The sequence below is a fragment of the Homo sapiens genome, chromosome 1 (assembly GCF_000001405.40).
Source record: "Homo sapiens chromosome 1, GRCh38.p14 Primary Assembly".
In the NCBI taxonomy this organism is placed as follows: Eukaryota; Metazoa; Chordata; class Mammalia; order Primates; family Hominidae; genus Homo; species Homo sapiens.
The window spans coordinates 148569150-148589680 of NC_000001.11; the positions used below are offsets into that span (position 1 = coordinate 148569150).

Below are 20531 nucleotides of genomic sequence, written 5' to 3' on the forward strand. Positions count from 1 at the left end.
GTGGCAATGACACCTCTCAGCTCAGTAAGGGCCACTTGCAGTAGGAATATGACCCTAACCAGAAGACTCAGTGGATCCTTATCACCTTCATAGAAAGGTACTCACCATCCATGTCAACAGCCAAGCCAACACGCTGTTGCTCCAATACATAAAAGGCACTTCTGTAGGGCTGGCATGAGTCAGTCAGTTCAAGACAACCTGAAGGAGTTGAATAACATCTATCCAGTGAGTCCTGCAAGACTTCAGGCCCTTTCTCATCCAGCAGCTCCCTGCTGAGCCTGGAAAAGTGGGAAAAAGTAAAGAATAAGCCAGGGGGAATCAGAAACCACACAGCCCCAGCTAGATTTCATGGCTAACGTAAGGAAGAGTTTGAAAAGAAAAAGGACAGATCCATTAATGAGGTAACAAATTATTGCCTTTATGTTGGGATAGAACAGGGCCAGATAGAAAACAATGAAAGAGAGAGACAGACAGAGACAGAGACAGAGACAGAGACAGAGACAGAGAGAAAGTGACCTAGTGAATTGGCCAGGTGACATACTGGTAAGGGAGTCAAAGGACACTCTGAGTTAGTGCCCTCATGACACACAGCAAACTGTGATCATGAAAAGAGTGAGCTCAATAGTTTTCCATAAAATATGCTCAAAATTCGATGCAGTGGCCATGAGAGTACAGCTTTTGAAGTATGGTCAACCTATGGTACGTTAGGAAATGATAAGGGGAGGAAGAAATGGAAACCTAAACATCTACTGCAATGAAAACCAACAGCAATGACAGTAGGAGTAATTCAGCCTTCGCTGAAAACATGTCATCAAACACACTCTGGTTTCCCTGAATCTGTTGCCTCCAGGTGTTAACACAGAATTAAGCATCCACAATTGCTGAAAGTCACCTGGGGCATGGTGGGTTTTGATCTTCTTCCCCTTCTTTTCTTCCCCTTCTTCTTTCCTTCTTTGATCTTCTTCCCCTTCTTTTCTTCCCCTTCCCCTTCTTTTCAATTTCTGCAATAAATTCAGACATGGACAGACACATTAAGCTGATTCCCCTACACACATAACAATCCACTGTCTAATCCTCACACAGGGACCTCAGGCTCCTCAGCATAAGAATAGGACACTGTGAGAGATATATTTCAGGAGGCCTGAAGGCTGGTCATGATAGAAATTCCTCGGTTTTTCTCCCAGAAACTGTGGGTAAAATGTCCCTATTCTAGTAGATCGTTATCCCAATATCATTTGTCCCAAGTTTCTGCAAACAGTTACGCCATATTTTTCCAATCAACTTAAAGCAAATACCCTCAAATGATTTCTAGGAGAAAAACTGCAATATTTAGCCCTGTCTCATCAAATACTCAGATTGTTCATGGTTGTGAGGACTTTAGACACTGAAATTAGAGTGAAAAAGGAAATCTACAAACCCTTGAGTCAAAATCATAGTTCTCTGAATTTGTCACATCTGCCCAGGTCCAATGTCATGAGAATAGGATCAGGGCGCCACAGGTATGGCCTGAGACTAGGAAGAGAGTCTTGCTCACTGACGCATCCCTTGTCTGGGCTTCCAGGTAGAACTAGAGTTTCATTCAACCTACATGTGCCTATAGGTCCTCCCTGTGGCAATGACATCTCTCAGCTCAGTAATGGCCACTTGGAGCAGGAATATGATCTTTATATGGAGGACTCAGTGGATCCTCATCACCTTCATAGAAAGGTACTCACCTCCCACGTCAAGAGAAAAGCCAACATGTTTTTCCTCCAATGCATAAAAGGAACTTCCATAGGGCTGGCAGGAGTCAGGCTGTTCAAGACAACTGGAAGGAGTTGAATAACATCTATCCAGTGAGTCCTGCAAGACTTCAGGCTCTACTACCTCCAGCAGCTCCCTGCTGAGCCTGGAAAAGGAGGAAAAAGTAAAGAATAAGCCAGGGGAAATCAGACACAACAGAGCCCCAACTAGGTTTCATGGGTAGCATAGGGAAGTGGTTAAAAAACTAAAAGGATAGATCCATTAATGAGGTAACAAATTGTTGCCTTCATGTTGGGACAGAACAGGGCCAAATGGAAAAGAATGAAAGAGAAAGACAGATAGACACACACACACACACACACACACACACACACACACACACAGAGAGAGAGAGAGAGAGAACGAGCTCAGTGAATTGTCCAGGTGACACACTGATGAGGGAGTAACAGGACACTCTGAGTTAGTGCCCTCAGGACACACAGCATACAGGGATCATGAAAAGACTGTGCTCAATAATTTTCCATAAAATGTGCTCAAGTTTCCATGCAGTCGCCATGAGAATACAGTTTTTGAAGTCTGGTCCACCTACAGTAGGTTAGTAAATGATAAGGGGAGGAAGAAATGGAAACCTAAATATCTACTGCAATGAAAACCAACAGCAATGTTAGTAGGAATAATTCAGGCTTGGTTGAAAAGATGTAATCGATAATGTCAGCCCGCTCTGTTTTCCCTGAACCAGGAGTCTCCAGATGTCAACACAGAAGTAGCTGTTCACAATTGCTCAGTTACCTGGGGCATGGTGGGTCTTGGTCTTCTTCCTCTTCTTCGTCCTTTTTAATTCCTGCAATACATTCAGACAGGGACAGACAAAATAAGCCAATTCACCTACACCCATAACAGTCCACTGTCTAATCCCCACACAGGGATCTCAGGCTCCTCAGCATGAGAACAGGACAATGTGAGAGATATACTTCAGGAGGCCTGAAAGCTGGTCATGATATTCTTTGGTTTGCATCTCAGAACCAAGGGTGAAATATCCCCATTCTGGTAGATCGTTATCCCAAAATCATTTATCCCAAGTTTGTGCAAACAGTTATGCTTTATTGTTCCCATCAGTTCAAAGAAAATGCCCCAGATGATTTCCAGGAGGAAAACTAAAGTATTCAGCCCTGTCTCATCAAATGCCCAGCTCGTTCATGGATGCAAGAATTTTAGACACTGAAATTAGAATGAAGGAGGAAATCTACAAACCCTTGAGTCCAAATCATACTTCTGTGAATTTTTTACATCTGCCTGGGTCCAATGTGCTGAGAGCGGGCTCAGGTTGCCACAGGCATGGCTGGAGACTAGGAATAGAGCCTTGCTCACTGACCCATTTCATGTCTAGGCTTCCAACTGAGACTACAGTTTCATTACAACCTATATGCGCCCATAGGTCCTGCCTGCGGCAATGACGTCTCTCGGGTCAGTAAGGGGCACTTGGAACAGGAATATCACCCCTATCTGGAAGACCAGGTGGAGGCTTATCACCTTCACAGTAAGGTACTCACTGTCCACGTCAAGAGCCAAGCCAAGGTACTGTTCCTCCAATGAGTAAACAGCACTGCTGTAGGGCTGGCCTAAGTCAGGCAGTTCAAGATAACCTGAAGGAGTCGAATAACATCTATCCAGTGAGTCCTGCAAGACTTCAGGCTCTTTCTCATCCAGCAGCTCCCTGCTGAGCCTGGAAAAGTGGGAAAAAGTAAAGAATAAGCCAGGGGGAATCAGAAACCACACAGCCCCAGCTAGATTTCATGGCTAACGTAAGGAAGAGTTTGAAAAGAAAAAGGACAGATCCATTAATGAGGTAACAAATTATTGCCTTTATGTTGGGATAGAACAGGGCCAGATAGAAAACAATGAAAGAGAGAGACAGACAGAGACAGAGACAGAGACAGAGACAGAGACAGAGAGAAAGTGACCTAGTGAATTGGCCAGGTGACATACTGGTAAGGGAGTCAAAGGACACTCTGAGTTAGTGCCCTCATGACACACAGCAAACTGTGATCATGAAAAGAGTGAGCTCAATAGTTTTCCATAAAATATGCTCAAAATTCGATGCAGTGGCCATGAGAGTACAGCTTTTGAAGTATGGTCAACCTATGGTACGTTAGGAAATGATAAGGGGAGGAAGAAATGGAAACCTAAACATCTACTGCAATGAAAACCAACAGCAATGACAGTAGGAGTAATTCAGCCTTCGCTGAAAACATGTCATCAAACACACTCTGGTTTCCCTGAATCTGTTGCCTCCAGGTGTTAACACAGAATTAAGCATCCACAATTGCTGAAAGTCACCTGGGGCATGGTGGGTTTTGATCTTCTTCCCCTTCTTTTCTTCCCCTTCTTCTTTCCTTCTTTGATCTTCTTCCCCTTCTTTTCTTCCCCTTCCCCTTCTTTTCAATTTCTGCAATAAATTCAGACATGGACAGACACATTAAGCTGATTCCCCTACACACATAACAATCCACTGTCTAATCCTCACACAGGGACCTCAGGCTCCTCAGCATAAGAATAGGACACTGTGAGAGATATATTTCAGGAGGCCTGAAGGCTGGTCATGATAGAAATTCCTCGGTTTTTCTCCCAGAAACTGTGGGTAAAATGTCCCTATTCTAGTAGATCGTTATCCCAATATCATTTGTCCCAAGTTTCTGCAAACAGTTACGCCATATTTTTCCAATCAACTTAAAGCAAATACCCTCAAATGATTTCTAGGAGAAAAACTGCAATATTTAGCCCTGTCTCATCAAATACTCAGATTGTTCATGGTTGTGAGGACTTTAGACACTGAAATTAGAGTGAAAAAGGAAATCTACAAACCCTTGAGTCAAAATCATAGTTCTCTGAATTTGTCACATCTGCCCAGGTCCAATGTCATGAGAATAGGATCAGGGCGCCACAGGTATGGCCTGAGACTAGGAAGAGAGTCTTGCTCACTGACCCATCCCTTGTCTGGGCTTCCAGGTAGAACTAGAGTTTCATTCAACCTACATGTGCCTATAGGTCCTCCCTGTGGCAATGACATCTCTCAGCTCAGTAATGGCCACTTGGAGCAGGAATATGATCTTTATATGGAGGACTCAGTGGATCCTCATCACCTTCATAGAAAGGTACTCACCTCCCACGTCAAGAGAAAAGCCAACATGTTTTTCCTCCAATGCATAAAAGGAACTTCCATAGGGCTGGCAGGAGTCAGGCTGTTCAAGACAACTGGAAGGAGTTGAATAACATCTATCCAGTGAGTCCTGCAAGACTTCAGGCTCTACTACCTCCAGCAGCTCCCTGCTGAGCCTGGAAAAGGAGGAAAAAGTAAAGAATAAGCCAGGGGAAATCAGACACAACAGAGCCCCAACTAGGTTTCATGGGTAGCATAGGGAAGTGGTTAAAAAACTAAAAGGATAGATCCATTAATGAGGTAACAAATTGTTGCCTTCATGTTGGGACAGAACAGGGCCAAATGGAAAAGAATGAAAGAGAAAGACAGATAGACACACACACACACACACACACACACACACACACACACACACACACACACAGAGAGAGAGAGAGAGAACGAGCTCAGTGAATTGTCCAGGTGACACACTGATGAGGGAGTAACAGGACACTCTGAGTTAGTGCCCTCAGGACACACAGCATACAGGGATCATGAAAAGACTGTGCTCAATAATTTTCCATAAAATGTGCTCAAGTTTCCATGCAGTCGCCATGAGAATACAGTTTTTGAAGTCTGGTCCACCTACAGTAGGTTAGTAAATGATAAGGGGAGGAAGAAATGGAAACCTAAATATCTACTGCAATGAAAACCAACAGCAATGTTAGTAGGAATAATTCAGGCTTGGTTGAAAAGATGTAATCGATAATGTCAGCCCGCTCTGTTTTCCCTGAACCAGGAGTCTCCAGATGTCAACACAGAAGTAGCTGTTCACAATTGCTCAGTTACCTGGGGCATGGTGGGTCTTGGTCTTCTTCCTCTTCTTCGTCCTTTTTAATTCCTGCAATACATTCAGACAGGGACAGACAAAATAAGCCAATTCACCTACACCCATAACAGTCCACTGTCTAATCCCCACACAGGGATCTCAGGCTCCTCAGCATGAGAACAGGACAATGTGAGAGATATACTTCAGGAGGCCTGAAAGCTGGTCATGATATTCTTTGGTTTGCATCTCAGAACCAAGGGTGAAATATCCCCATTCTGGTAGATCGTTATCCCAAAATCATTTATCCCAAGTTTGTGCAAACAGTTATGCTTTATTGTTCCCATCAGTTCAAAGAAAATGCCCCAGATGATTTCCAGGAGGAAAACTAAAGTATTCAGCCCTGTCTCATCAAATGCCCAGCTCGTTCATGGATGCAAGAATTTTAGACACTGAAATTAGAATGAAGGAGGAAATCTACAAACCCTTGAGTCCAAATCATACTTCTGTGAATTTTTTACATCTGCCTGGGTCCAATGTGCTGAGAGCGGGCTCAGGTTGCCACAGGCATGGCTGGAGACTAGGAATAGAGCCTTGCTCACTGACCCATTTCATGTCTAGGCTTCCAACTGAGACTACAGTTTCATTACAACCTATATGCGCCCATAGGTCCTGCCTGCGGCAATGACGTCTCTCGGGTCAGTAAGGGGCACTTGGAACAGGAATATCACCCCTATCTGGAAGACCAGGTGGAGGCTTATCACCTTCACAGTAAGGTACTCACTGTCCACGTCAAGAGCCAAGCCAAGGTACTGTTCCTCCAATGAGTAAACAGCACTGCTGTAGGGCTGGCCTAAGTCAGGCAGTTCAAGATAACCTGAAGGAGTCGAATAACATCTATCCAGTGAGTCCTGCAAGACTTCAGGCTCTTTCTCATCCAGCAGCTCCCTGCTGAGCCTGGAAAAGTAGGAAAAAGTAAAGAATAAGCCAGGGGGAATCAGAAACCACACAGCCCCAGCTAGATTTCATGGCTAACATAAGGAACTGTTTAAAAAGAAAAAGGACAGATCCATTAATGAGGTAATGAATTATTGCCTTTATGTTGGGATAGACCAGGGCCAGGTAGAAAAGAATGAAAGAGAAAGACAGGGAGAGGGAGAGAGAGAGAGAGAGGAGAAAGTGAGCTCAGCGAATTGGCCGGGTGACACACTGATGAAGGGGTTAAAGGACACTCTGAGTTAGTGCCCTCGGGACACACAGCGAACAGTGATCATGAAAAGAGTGGGCTCAATAATTTTCCGTAAACTTGCTCAAGATTCCATGCAGTTGCCATACAGCCTTTGAGGTATGGTCAACCTATAGTAAGTGAGTAAATGATAAGGGGAGGAAGAAATGGAAACCTAAGCATCTACTGCAATGAAAACCAACAGCAATGTCAGTAGGAGTAATTCAACCTTCGTTGAAAACATGAAATTGAACACACTCTTGTTTTCCCTGGACCTGGCATCTCCAGGTGTCAACACAGAATTAAGCATCCATAATTGCTCAAAGTTACCTGGGGCATGATGGGTCTTGGTCTTCTTCCACTTCTTGGTACTTTTCAATTTCTGCAATAAGTTCAGACATGGACAGACATATTAAGCTGGTTCTCCTAAACACACATAACAATCCACTGTCTAATCCTCACACAGGGACTTCAGGCTCCTCAGCATGAGAATAGGACACTGTGAGAGATATTCTTCAGGAGGCCTGAAGGCTGATCACCATAGAGATTCCTTGGTTTTTGTCCCAGAAACTGTGGGTAAAATTCCCTATTCTGGTAGATCGTTATCCCAATATCATTTGTCCCAAGTTTGTGCAAATGGTTATGCCATATTTTTCCAATCGATTTAAAGCAATTGCCCCCAAATGGTTGCTAGGAGAAAAACTGCACTATTCAGCCCTGTCTCATCAAATACTCAGATTGTTCATGGTAGCGAGGATTTCAGACGCTGAAATTAGAGTGAAGGATGAAATCTACAAGATCTACAAAATTGAGACAAAATCAGAGTTGTGTGAATTTGTCACATCTGCCCAGGTCCAATGTCATGAGAGTAGGATTAGGGCGCCACAGGCATGGCCTGAGACTAGGAAGAGAGCCTTGCTCACTGACCCATCCCTTGTCTGGGCTTCCAAGTGGAACTAGAGTTTCATTCAACCTACATGTGCCTATAGGTTCTCCCTGTGGCAATGACATCTCTCAGCTCAGTAAGGGCCACTTGCAGTAGGAATATGACCCTAACCAGAAGACTCAGTGGATCCTTATCACCTTCATAGAAAGGTACTCACCATCCATGTCAACAGCCAAGCCAACACGCTGTTGCTCCAATACATAAAAGGCACTTCTGTAGGGCTGGCATGAGTCAGTCAGTTCAAGACAACCTGAAGGAGTTGAATAACATCTATCCAGTGAGTCCTGCAAGACTTCAGGCCCTTTCTCATCCAGCAGCTCCCTGCTGAGCCTGGAAAAGTGGGAAAAAGTAAAGAATAAGCCAGGGGGAATCAGAAACCACACAGCCCCAGCTAGATTTCATGGCTAACGTAAGGAAGAGTTTGAAAAGAAAAAGGACAGATCCATTAATGAGGTAACAAATTATTGCCTTTATGTTGGGATAGACTATGGCCAGGTAGAAAAGGATGAACGAGAAAGACACACACACACACACACACACACACACACACACTCACACACACACAGAGCGAGGTCAGTCAATTGGTCAGGTGACACACTGATGAGGGAGTCAAAGGACACTCTGTATTTGTGCTCTCAGGACACACAGTGAACAGTGATCATGAAAAGCATGTCCTCAATAATTTTGCATAAAATGTGCTCAAGTTTCCCGGCAGTTACCATGAGAATACAGCTTTTGAGGTATGGTCAACTTTCACTAGGTTAGTAAATGATAAGGGTAGGAAGAAATGGAAACCTAAACATTTACTCTAATGAGAACCAAAAAGCAATGTAGTAGGCATAATTCAGACTTGTCTGACAAGACAAAATCATTATTTTCAGGATGTACTGTTTTCCCTGGACTTGGCATCTCCAGGTGTCAACATCAAATTAACTGTCCACAATTTCTCAGACTCACCTGGGACCTGTTGCCTCTTGGTCCTCCTTTTTCACTTGATCCCACCGATGTCCTGCAAATAAATTCAGATGTGCCCTCTTACATTAAGTTCTTCCTTGCACACAGAAACATTCCTCTGTCCAATCCTAACACAGGGACATCAGTCTTGTCAGTGTGAGAACAGGAGACTTTGAGAGAAATATTCCAGTAGGCCTGAGGTCAAGTCTTGAGAAAACTGGCTTGTGTTCTTTCATGAGCCTTGGGCAAAATTCCCCTGTGTTGGAATGTTATCTTCCCTATGTGCTCTGTCCTAGGTTTATGTACACAAATGAGCAATTTTTTCCCCAATAAATTGTAGGCAAATAGTTCTAACACCTCATAGGAGAGATACTTCAATATTAAGCTTTCTCTCATCAAATACCCAGAATTTGATAGTTTATGAGATTGTGGACACAGAGATTTGATGAAGGGGTGCAATGTACCAGCTCTTGAGTCAAAATGAAACTTGGTTCTACACAGAAGCATCAGCTATTATGGCTTTTGTGGGTGAAAAGTCAGCCATTTATCTAGAAAACATACCAGGAACATGACGGACAGATGAGCTAAAACAAGCGAACTTAGAAGACACAGAAAATGGGAATAAATTCAGTGAAACCTGGGTCACATCTTTCACTGAGAGGTAGACAAGGGTGACACTGGCCTTGGGCAGGTAAAGAACCACACAGACATGCTTTGGGAACAAAACTCATAAGGAATTTTGTAGCTGGCAAGAGACATTTAATTCAGATGAGCTGATCTGACAGACAACTCCTGGGCATGTGCTACATAGTTTGGTGTGAGTTTGCCACACCTGCCTTGAGTTCAATGTCGTGACAGTCAGTCCAGGTTGGCATGGGCATGGCCTGAGACTAGGAAGAGAGTAAAGCTCACTGACCCACCCCATGCCTGTGCTTCAGACTTGACTCCAGAGTGACTGAAATCTACATTGATATATAGGTTCAGCCCACGGTGATGGCAAATCTCAGCCCAACAAGGGGCACAAGGCCCAAAGATTATGGGGTCTACCTGGGCCATGAACTGGAGCTTTATCACCTTCACAATGGAGTACTCACTGCCTATGTCAACAGCCATGCAGACTTGCTGTTCCTCTAATGAGTGAAATGTGCTGCTGTAAGACTGGTACGAGGCCAACATTTCAGGAGGAATTGAGAGAGTCGAATAACCTTCATCCCAGGACTCCTGGGGGACTTCCTCCTCTTCAGACTCCTGCAGATTCCTGATGAGCCAGGCAGGACAGGGATGATAGAAGATTTAACCAACAGACATTAGACAACAAAACCTCCCAGATGATCTGATGGGAGACAGAATGGAGTGGTCACAGAAACCAAAGGCATTTTTCCTTCAAGAGAAATAAAACTATCCTTCTAAATACAGGGTGGAGGGTGACTGCTCTGGGGACAGAGCAAAAATGGGCAGCATGTGCTCAGTACATTTGCCACAGATGAGCCAACTCAGGGCACCCGGACTCTCCCTGTAAACTACCATCATGACTTGCAGCACAGAGAACTGACACAGGGCTTCAACTACTTTGCATAAATTGGGTTGAATTTTACATGCAGCATTCAAGTGAAGAGAGTTCTTGACGCAGTGCAGACACAGATCTTGTGTATTAAGGGCCCCATTTTCCCAATATTTTGATATAATATATTTACTTTTTCAATTTCTTTTCTTGCAAAAATACTAGCCAACATACTACCAACAAATAGGAAGAAAGCATATATACACCTCTCCCTGGATTTAGACACATGGGAGAGAATAGGCAACACCAAGAAATCCCTGTTTGAGGGTCTGGAGTGGACTTCCAGCAAACTCCAACAGACCTGAAGCTGAGGGACCTGACTGTTACAAGGAAAACTAACACAGAGAAAGGAATAGCATCAACATCAACAAAAAAGACATCCACCCCAAAACCCCATCTGTAGGTCGCCATCATCAAAGACCAAGGGTAGATAAAACCACAAAGGTGGGGAGAAACCAGAGCACAAAAGCTGAAAATTCCAAAAACCTGACATCCCTTCTCCTCCAAAGGATCGCAGCTCCTCACCAGCAATGGAACAAAGCAGGATGGAGAATGACTTTGATGAGCTGACAGAAGTAGGCTTCAGAAAGTCGGTAATAACAAACTTCTCTGAGCTAAAGGAGGATGTGCGAACTCATCGCAAGGAAGCTAAAAACCTTGAAAAAAGATTAGACGAATGGCTAACCAGAATGAACAGTGTAGAGAAGACCTTAAATGACCTGATGGAGCTGAAAACCATGGCACGAGAACTACGTGATGCATGCACAAGCTTCAGTAGCCAATTCGATCAAGTGCAAGAAACGGTATCAGTGATTCAAGATCAAATTAGTGAAATGAAGCGAGAAGAGAAGTTTAGAGAAAAAAGAGTAAAAAGAAATGAACAAGCCTCCAATAAATATGGGACTATGTGGAAAGACCAAATCTACGTTTGATTGGTGTACTGAAAGTGACGGGGAGAATGGAACCAAGCTGGGAAACATTCTTCAGGATATTATCCAGGAGGACTTCCCCAACCTAGCAAGGAAGGCCAACATTCAAATTCAGGAAACACAGAGAACACCATAAAGATACTCCTCGAGAAGAGCAACCCCAAAACACGTAATTGTCAGATTCACCAAGGTTGAAATGAAGGAAAAAATGCTAAGGGCAGCCAGAGAGAAAGGTCGGATTACCCACAAAGGGAAACCCATCAGACTAGCAGCAGATCTCTTGGCACAAACCCTACAAGCCAGAAGAGAGTGGGAGCAATATTCAACATTCTTTTTTTTTTCCATATGTATAGTTTTCCTTTATTATTTTTTGTGTGTATGTATATATATATATTTTTTTTTTAATACTTTAAGTCTTAGGGTACATGTGCACAACGTGCAGGTTAGTTACATATGTATACATGTCCACATTGGTGTGCTTCACCCATTAACTCATCATTTAACATTAGGTATATCTCCTAATGCTACCCCTCCTCCCTCCCCACACCCTACAACAGGCCCCAGTGTGTGATGTTCCCCTTTCTGTGTCCATGTGTTCTCATTGTTCAATTCCCACCTGTGAGTAAGAACATGCGGTATTTGGTTTTTTGTCCTTGCAATAGTTTGCTGAGAATGATGGTTTCCAGCTTCATCCATGCCCCTACAAAGGACATGAACTCATCATTTTTTATAGCTGCATAGTATTCCATGGTGTATATGTGCCACATTTTCTTAATCCAGTCTATCATTGCTGGATATTTGGCTTGGTTCCAAGTCTTTGCTATTGTGAATAGTGCCACAATAAACATATGTGTGCATGTGTCTTTACAGCAGCATGATTTATAATCCTTTGGGTATACACCCAGTAATGGGATGGCTGGGTCAAATGGTATTTCTAGTTCTAGATCCCTGAGGAATTGCCACACTGCCTTCCACAATCGTTGAACTAGTTTACAGTCCCACCAACAGTGTAAAAGTGTTCCTATTTCTCCACATCCTCTCCAGCACCTTCAACATTCTGAAAGAAAAGAATTTTCAACCAAGAATTTCATATCCAGCCAAACAAAGCTTCATAAGTGAAGGAGAAATAAATCCTTTACAGAGAAGCAAATGCTGAGAGATTTTGTCACCACCAGGCCTGCCTTACAAGAGCTCCTAAAGGAAGCACTAAACATGGAAAGGAACAACCGGTACCAGCCACTGCAAAAACATGCCAAACTGTAAAGACCATTGACGCTAGGAAGAAACTGCATCAACTAACAGGCGAAATAACCAGCTAACATCATAACGACAGGATCAAATTCACACATAACAATATTAACCTTAAATGTAAATGGGCTAAATGCCCCAGTTAAAAAACACAGAATGGCAAATTGGATAAAGAGTCAAGACCCATCAGTGTGCTGTACTCAGGAAACCCATCTCACATGCAGAGACACACATAGGCTCAAAATAAAGGGATGGAGGAAGATCTACCAAGCAAATGGAAAACAAAAAAAGGCAGGTGTTGCAATCCTAGTCTCTGATAAAACAGACTTTAAACCAACAAAGATCAAAAGAGACAAAGAAGGCCACTACATAATGGTAAAGGGATCAATTCAACAAGAAGAGTTAACTATCCTAAATATATATGCACCCTATACAGGAGCACCCAGATTCATAAAGCAAGTCCTGAGAGACCTACAAAGAGATTTAGACTCCACACAATCATCATGGGAGACTTTAACACCCCACTGTCAATATTAGACAGATCAATGAGACAGAAGCTTAACAAGGATATCCAGGACTTGAACTCAGCTCTCCACCAAGCAGACCTAAAAGACATCTACAGAACTCTCCACCCCAAATCAACAGAATATACATTCTTCTCAGCACCACATCACACTTATTCCAAAATTGACCACATAGTTGGAGGTAAAGCACTCGTCAGCAAATGTAAAAGAATGGAAATCACAACAAACTGTCAGACCACAGTGCAATCAAATTAGAACTCAGGATTAAGAAACTCACTCAAAACCACACAACTACATGGAAACTGAACAACCTGCTCCTGAATGACTACTGGGAAAATAACAAAATGAAGGCAGAAATAAAGATGTTCTTTGAAACCAATGAGAACAAAGACACAACATACCAGAATCTCTGGGACACATTTAAAGCAATGTGTAGAGGGAAAATTATAGCACTAAATGCCCACAAGAGAAAGCAGAAAAGATCTAAAATTGACACCCTAACATCACAATTAAAATAACTAGAGAAGCAAAGCAAACAAATTCAAAAGCTAGCAGAAGACAAGAAGTAACTAAGATCAGAGCAGAACTAAAGGAGATAGAGACACAAAAAACCCTTCAAAAAATCAATGAATCCAGGGCTGGTTTTTTGAAAAGATCAACAAGAAAACCCTGTTTGGCTAGTTCACCTGGCTCATCTGATGGCAAGTTCCTATCTTGAGAGGACTATGAAATTAAAACCAATACAAGTGCCACAAATAACATACAACATTGTAAATCAGCACAATTTGTAGCTGGGTGAATGGAAGAAATAGTTCTATTCATCACTTCCTCATTTTCCCTAAATCTACAATCTCCAGATGTCACTACTGAATTAACAGCCAACAATTCCACAACATTACCTGGGAGACACTGGCCCTTTTTCTTCCTCTTCCTCATCATCACTTTCATTTTCTGTAAATAAATTCAGAGAAGCAGGTCACATTAAGCAATTCATACTTCACATATGAACAAATCACTGTCCAGTCATAGCACAAGGACATAACTATTCTCAGTGCAAGAATAAGGATTCTGACAGGAATATTCTAGGGTGTCCTAGATTAACTTTGGTGAGAATTAGATGACCCTGCTTTCCAGACCCACAGGCCAAAATCTCCCTCTACGTGTAGACCATAATGCCATATTCCCTGCCTGAGTCAAAGTTAAACAAAATTTTTTCCCCAAAAAAATCTCCAAAAATTGGTCAAACAATTTTCTAAGAGTGTTGCTGCGATACGGACTTATATCACCAGGTAACATGGACATTAAATGTTTAGAGGCATCTATACATGAAACACGACTGATAGATAAATTTGAACAACTCTTGCTTTAAAAAGAATCTGTGATTTGGGAGGCCAAGACAGGTGAATCATTTGAGGTCATGAGTTCAGGACTACCCTGGCCAATATGGGGAAACCCTGTCTCTACTAAAAATACAAAAATTAGCCAGATGTGATGTTGTGCACCTGTGGTCCCAGCAACTCAGGAGGCTGAGGCAGGAGAATCACTTGAATCTGGGAGGCAGAGGTTGCACCAAGCCAAGATGGTGCCACTGCACTCCAGCCTGGGTGACAGAGCAAGACTCCATTGCAAAAAAAAAAAAATCCACGATGCTACAAAGAAACATTGGATCAGCCATTGCATTGACAGGGTGGAGAACCAGGGTCCAGCCTTGCTTTATGGAAATATATCAGCAAAGTAAAGAAGAAAAGTTTCCGTCCTGATTTCAGGGTGACTGTGCAGCTAAGCAAGCTGACTTAAAGGAGATCCAGATGAAAGCTGAGAGCAGTGAAGCCTGGGGAACGATATTTCCAAATACAAAGGCAAGGCTGCCAGCTTCCTTAAACAGGCATAGAAACTCCATGGACATTGTTCAGGGACAGATGACTTAATCACAGATGACAAGAGATACTGAATCGAAGCTAGGAGGCCTGACAGATACTGCCTGTGCACCTCCTGCACTCAGGTGACTATGAGATTGTCACACTTGCCTGGGGTTGAGTAACTTGATACTGGGGACTGGCAGACAAAGTCATGACATTAGCTGAGAAGGACAAACAAACTCCCTGATATCTGTTTAGAAACCCATCACAGTTTTTTATTCAAATGAATTTGTGTTTATAGAGCCTGTCTTCAGAGTTTATCTTTCTCAGCCTAGAGAGAGGTATGAGACACAAGGAAAACAGAGGCTACCTGGAATAATGTGTACAGCATCCTCCCATTCAACATGAGAGGATGAGCCAATGAGAGTTGAGTCGACTTTGTCTTCCTCAAATGTGATTTTGGTTTTCCTATGTGGCTGGTTGGAGTCATAAGAGCCATGGCTATTTGAATAAGTGATGGCACATTCCTCCAGTGAGTCCTCAGGGACTTCCTTTTCTTCAGCCTTCTGCATCTCCCTGATGAGCCAGGTGGGACAGAGATGACAGAAGATTAAACACAGAGGGATTGGACCCCAGGGAGTCCTAGCTGGTTTTGACAGGCGGCATTAAGAGAGTGGTCCCAGAAAGCAAAATGGAGGTTCCCATTAAGAGGGAACATGCAATCCTGTTCTCTCTGCAACAGAGCATGGCTGCCATGGGAACCAGAGAGGAAGAGAGCAGCTGCTGTTCATTGCACTGGACAGATAGGAGCTGAGGAGGATGAAGACTCAGCTATCCCTGTACGGTGCAGACATGACACTCAGCACACACAGAGAAACATGACAGCTACCGCACCCTGTGTCTAAGCTGGATTATATTTCACATACTGTGGCCAAGCGAATGCGGGTTTTTGGCCCATCATAGATGCCAGAGAGGGTGTGCCTCCTAGATATTCCTCATATGTTACCATCCATTAATTGTTCCTGAGTATTCAGTGTTACCTGGGGGCAGACGATTTCTGCACTTTCTCAGCCACCTCAACTTGAACATCTTCATCGTCATCGTTGTCATTTTCTGTAAATACAGAAGTGTTCGTTCAGGTATTTCCCACTTCACAGTCTGCAAGCACAGTCAGCCCAATGTGCAACAGAGACATGAACATCTAGGCATGGGTCACCGTTCAACTGAAAACTCTCATGTTTTATCTTTAACAGAATGCCCTGCCATGGTTTCCTGATCCATCAGGCAATGCATTTCTGATCTGGAGGGCCACCATCAACATGTGGCCAAATATTGAAAAGACCTTTTGCTTCCCATATCACTGGAGGCTTGTGCAGCCTCTCTCTGGACGTTGGCAGCTGTCTCCCCCATCCTGCCAGATCTGATTCCCAGGCACAGGCTTGGTGTCCTGTCACGGTTTGCATTTCAAACCTCATTCTTTCTCTTAGAAGCAGACAAACTTGTCCCACAGTCCTCTATGCATCAGAAGATTTCAAGCCTCCAAGTGGCTTCTGCTGTATTCTTCAGGGACATTCTATCCATGGGGAGTGCTCCAGTCTGAAGCACTTCCTACCACAAAACGCCCCCACATAAAGTGCCTTCTCCAACATCACACGGCAAGGGCCTTCATCTCATTTTGGAAAGCAGTTGTAAGTGTTCCCACATTTGAATGCTTCAGACCCTTGCAAGAGACAATTTGTCTGCCACGGAGAGAGAGAAACTCAGGAAGGACAAGTCATTCACTCTCTGACAGTTACTAAGAACATTGCCGAAAAGACAGCCTGGGAACCTTCATTCTTAGTCCTGAGCTCTTTTCACTCTAACAAGCCTGCTCCCATCGCAGCCTCCTTCCTGTCCTTTAAAACTAGACAGATGCTGCCTCTTGCTCCAAAGACCACCTTCCATCAAGGGAGGAGGGACACTTGCAATACTGTGACCTCCAACCCCATGGGTTTCCCATCTCCGTTCTTACCCAAGAAGTCCTGGTCATGTCATGGCCACATAAGCTTAGTGGAAAAAAACACCATTGATACAACTGTCATTGTGAAAGTATGGAGGTCTGGAGTCTCTCATAAGCCTGGGATTTTGGGTCATCAGGGCCTATGGCCACCTTACCTGGGCTGAGCTTTTGGACAAGGTGCTGTGCCAGTCTACACCCCTCAGCCAGCTGTTCTTGGAGGTCCTGCCCCTGGGACTTGTCCGGCTCATCCGGAGTGAGGAGGGCCTGGAGATGCTCATTCAATGAGCGGGAGGCATCTCTCCCTTCCCGCAACTTCTCCCTTAACTGGGTCAGCTCTCGTTCCTGAGCGTGAACCAGGACTTTATATTGCCTAAGGTGAGACGGTAGAGAAAATTTAAGAGTGGAAAGGGTTGAGTGATCCGCTCAAATATTGCAACAGAGATTTCTGAGACAATGTCCTCAAGGAGACCTCGAAGCAGAAGGTCAGCACATGTGGAAAGGAATGTCTGTGGCCAAGAGAAAGAATAGAAAATGGTTTACAGGCTTCCTCTGTATCAGAGAGGGCTCTTGCAAGATCCTCGATGATGTTCCATTCATCTTTCTCTTCTGTAAACAAAAGTAGGTGTCTTCCTAATTCCATTTCAAAAAGACATCCTTTCAGTTCCTCACTCTGGCCATGGACATTTCCATGTGAAAATACACATAGTGCATCTTGCGGCCACTAGATACAAAGCCATGTACAGAAATGAGGCCAGGTGCAGATGGGGCGAATTGAAAAGATGAAAGAAGAAAAGAATGACAGGGTCGAGGAGGCAACATTGATTGAGTGAAAGAATGAGAAGCCGCAGTCAGTCAGGAGGTGATTCTCACTAAGGGTAAGTGGGGTGGTGATGGCACACCATTTTGAGTATACTGAATGCTGCTGTGTGGTTCACACTCCTTTGGTTAATTTTGTGTTATGTAAATTTCACATCAAAAATTACTTGTTTGAAAAAGAGAAAACAAGGCTCTGAGAAACAACTGCAACCCATACATTTTTACTATCCTTCTTCTCTGATAAATATTTGTGTGTAGCGAGCCTGCCATGGCAATTCCTGCCCTTCCCCTGGCCCAGCTGAGCTCTTACGTCTCCCCACTGAGCTGCTGTACTTCAGAGATTTACACACCTGCCCCCCTGCCTGCCCCCATGGGGTCCCCTCACCTGAGCTCCTCAGCTTGCTTCAGCTGCTCCGCAAGCTTCTCCTCCTTGAACTGTCGCTCATTCCTCAGCATAAATTTTATGAGGTCTTTGCACTCTTCATATTCTGAGAAAAGACAGACACACCTACCTCAGTGGAAGGCTGGACATGCTGCTGTGGTCATTGCCTACAGGACAGGAGCCAGGTCCATCCCAAGGACAAAACTCTCCCCAGTACCAGGGTCTAGACAGGGATTTCAACATCTTTACTCTTCAGTCTCCTGACTTTCTGGCATCTGATCCTCCAAAATTTAGAGATGAAGAAAGAGAACCTCAAGGGCACATCAAGGAAGTTGACAAGATGATTCAACCACAACTAAGTGGAGTCAGAATTCACAGTCCCTGAGGTCTGACTCTGAATGCGGGGCCACTTTCCCAAGCCTTGCAGCCTCTCCTCTAAAACACTGCACTGGGGCATGAAGTAGTGATTTCTTGTACAGTCGGGAAGGCCCCTAGGACTATGGGACTGATGGTTTCCCTTTTACTGGGAATTTCAAGGACAAGTATGCGAAAGATTTTTAAAATCTTTGATTTTTAAATCATATCTTCAGTTATGATTTTAAGAATCATATCTGAAGCATAAAGTGTGACACATAACACCATAAGGCCATGAAGGAAATATGCCCAAATGCTAATAAATTTTGTGTTAATTTAGAAACAGCAGAATGAAGAACTAATAGATAGTGTTTACTGTGTGCCAATAAATGTTCTAGGAGATTGACAAGAAATAGCTCATGTAATTCACTGCAGCAATTTACAGAGGTAGGTATTATTGTAGTACCCTCTGAACAGGTGAGGAAACTGAGGGACAGACAAGACAAGCAACTTGGATGGAGCCCAGGAGACAGGCCCACGGTCCCTGCTCTGTACACTGCACTGCTATCTCCACACATTCTCGGGTGCGATCTTTCTTCCTCTTTAGCAACAAGACTCTGTGCCCCAGGAAGCAGGACTTCACTCTCACCAAGCTACTCTCTGCTTTTTATTCTTATTTTTATTTATCATTATTATTATTATTATTTTTAACAGTCTTGCCCTGTCGCCCAGGCTGGAGTGCAATGGCAAAATCTTGGCTCACTGCAACCTCAGCCTCCTGGGTTCAAAGGATTCTCCTGCCTCAGCCTCCTGAGCAGGGGTGATTACAGTCACCTGCCACCACGCCCATCTACTTTTTGTATTTTTAGTGGAGATGGGGTTTCTCCATGTTGCCCAGGCTGGTCTCAAACTCCTGACCTCATCATCTGCCCGCCTCAGCCTCCCAAAGTGCTGGGATTACAGGAGTGAGCCACCATGCACGGCCCCTACTCCCTGCTCTTGATGCTGTCACTTATAGACAGCACAGGTTCTATTAGGAGTAGACTCCTCTTGAAGCCCCTCAGAGCAGGTACTGGCTACTATCACCAAGTTTCCCTCAGAGTCACTAGAACAGAGCTTTGCCTGTTGGGCCTCAACAGAAACTTGAACTGAATAAAAGTTCACTAGTCTCAGACATTTAGAACAACAGACTAGATGTTATTTGTCTGCAGGATCTTATATGGTACAGAGAGGATTCTTGAAAACACGATTGAGCCTCTTGGAGAAAACAGGTCATTCTGTGCCTGTGTCAGAAATCAATAAATGGCAGTTTAACTCTAGTCCCACCCCCACCTGATTGCAAACATGGAAAGTTGCTAAATACTTTGGTACCTCTGTCTTCCAACTTTGACAAAATGTTAAAATACCCATTTCTGTTTTCCTAGAAGTACAGGAAGGATGAAATTATTTTTGATGGAGAGAGCATTTAGTGTCTCAGAGAGAAGACAGGATATCATTCATCACTTTCATGATGGTGAGCCTATAGATCTTACTGTATTTCTTCTGTTGGTTGGCCAGGAAGCCGGACAGTTGAGTTAGAAAACATTTCTCTTTGAGGTTTCTGAACTGCTGTTTCTTCTCTGCCAGCTGGGGGCGCAATTTCTCATTGATTTCTAGAATGTTCATCTCTGCCTTCTCGCTGGACAAAGGGCCGGCTGATACCACCATGCTGACGTTTGTGGCAGAAGAGGTGGGGCCAGGGACTGGGGAGAAGAAAGGCAAACACATGATGGGTTAAAAACTGGTGAAATCAAATAGGCTTAATCAGGACTGAGGGATGTCACTGGCAGCCTTGTTTACTTATTTGAAGATGATGTTTCCCTGGTTTCACTCTTGTCATCTCCAGTCTTGATCTCCTTTAAGTCAACTTGTCTTAGCTATGCAGTCACCTTGAAACCAGGACATAAACACTTCTACACTTTTCTTGCTTATACGTTTCTATAAAGCAAGGCTTGGCCCTGAGATTTTTACCCCATGAGTGGCCAATGTT

General features: G+C 43.8%; 1 protein-coding gene across 2 annotated transcripts in view; it reads right to left on the reverse strand.

Annotated features, from left to right (window-relative positions):
- NBPF14 (NBPF member 14) overlaps positions 1 to 20531 on the reverse strand; it is a 64627-nt gene that overhangs the window by 37765 nt on the left and 6331 nt on the right. The window contains exons 7-25 of one of the 2 annotated variants that reach the window (NM_001395631.1): positions 20035 to 20244; positions 18152 to 18254; positions 17106 to 17320; positions 15992 to 16064; positions 15322 to 15527; positions 13992 to 14043; positions 9925 to 10088; positions 8834 to 8885; positions 8034 to 8206; positions 7261 to 7312; positions 6490 to 6662; positions 5729 to 5780; positions 4904 to 5076; positions 4081 to 4189; positions 3294 to 3466; positions 2533 to 2584; positions 1716 to 1888; positions 893 to 1001; positions 106 to 278 (exon numbers count right to left, since the gene is read on the reverse strand). In NM_001395631.1, the coding sequence (NP_001382560.1) occupies positions 106 to 278; positions 893 to 1001; positions 1716 to 1888; positions 2533 to 2584; positions 3294 to 3466; positions 4081 to 4189; positions 4904 to 5076; positions 5729 to 5780; positions 6490 to 6662; positions 7261 to 7312; positions 8034 to 8206; positions 8834 to 8885; positions 9925 to 10088; positions 13992 to 14043; positions 15322 to 15527; positions 15992 to 16064; positions 17106 to 17320; positions 18152 to 18254; positions 20035 to 20244 (2487 nt within the window). The remainder of the gene's footprint in view (positions 1 to 105; positions 279 to 892; positions 1002 to 1715; positions 1889 to 2532; positions 2585 to 3293; positions 3467 to 4080; positions 4190 to 4903; positions 5077 to 5728; positions 5781 to 6489; positions 6663 to 7260; positions 7313 to 8033; positions 8207 to 8833; positions 8886 to 9924; positions 10089 to 13991; positions 14044 to 15321; positions 15528 to 15991; positions 16065 to 17105; positions 17321 to 18151; positions 18255 to 20034; positions 20245 to 20531) is intronic. The other variant, NM_015383.2, reaches the window with a different exon arrangement.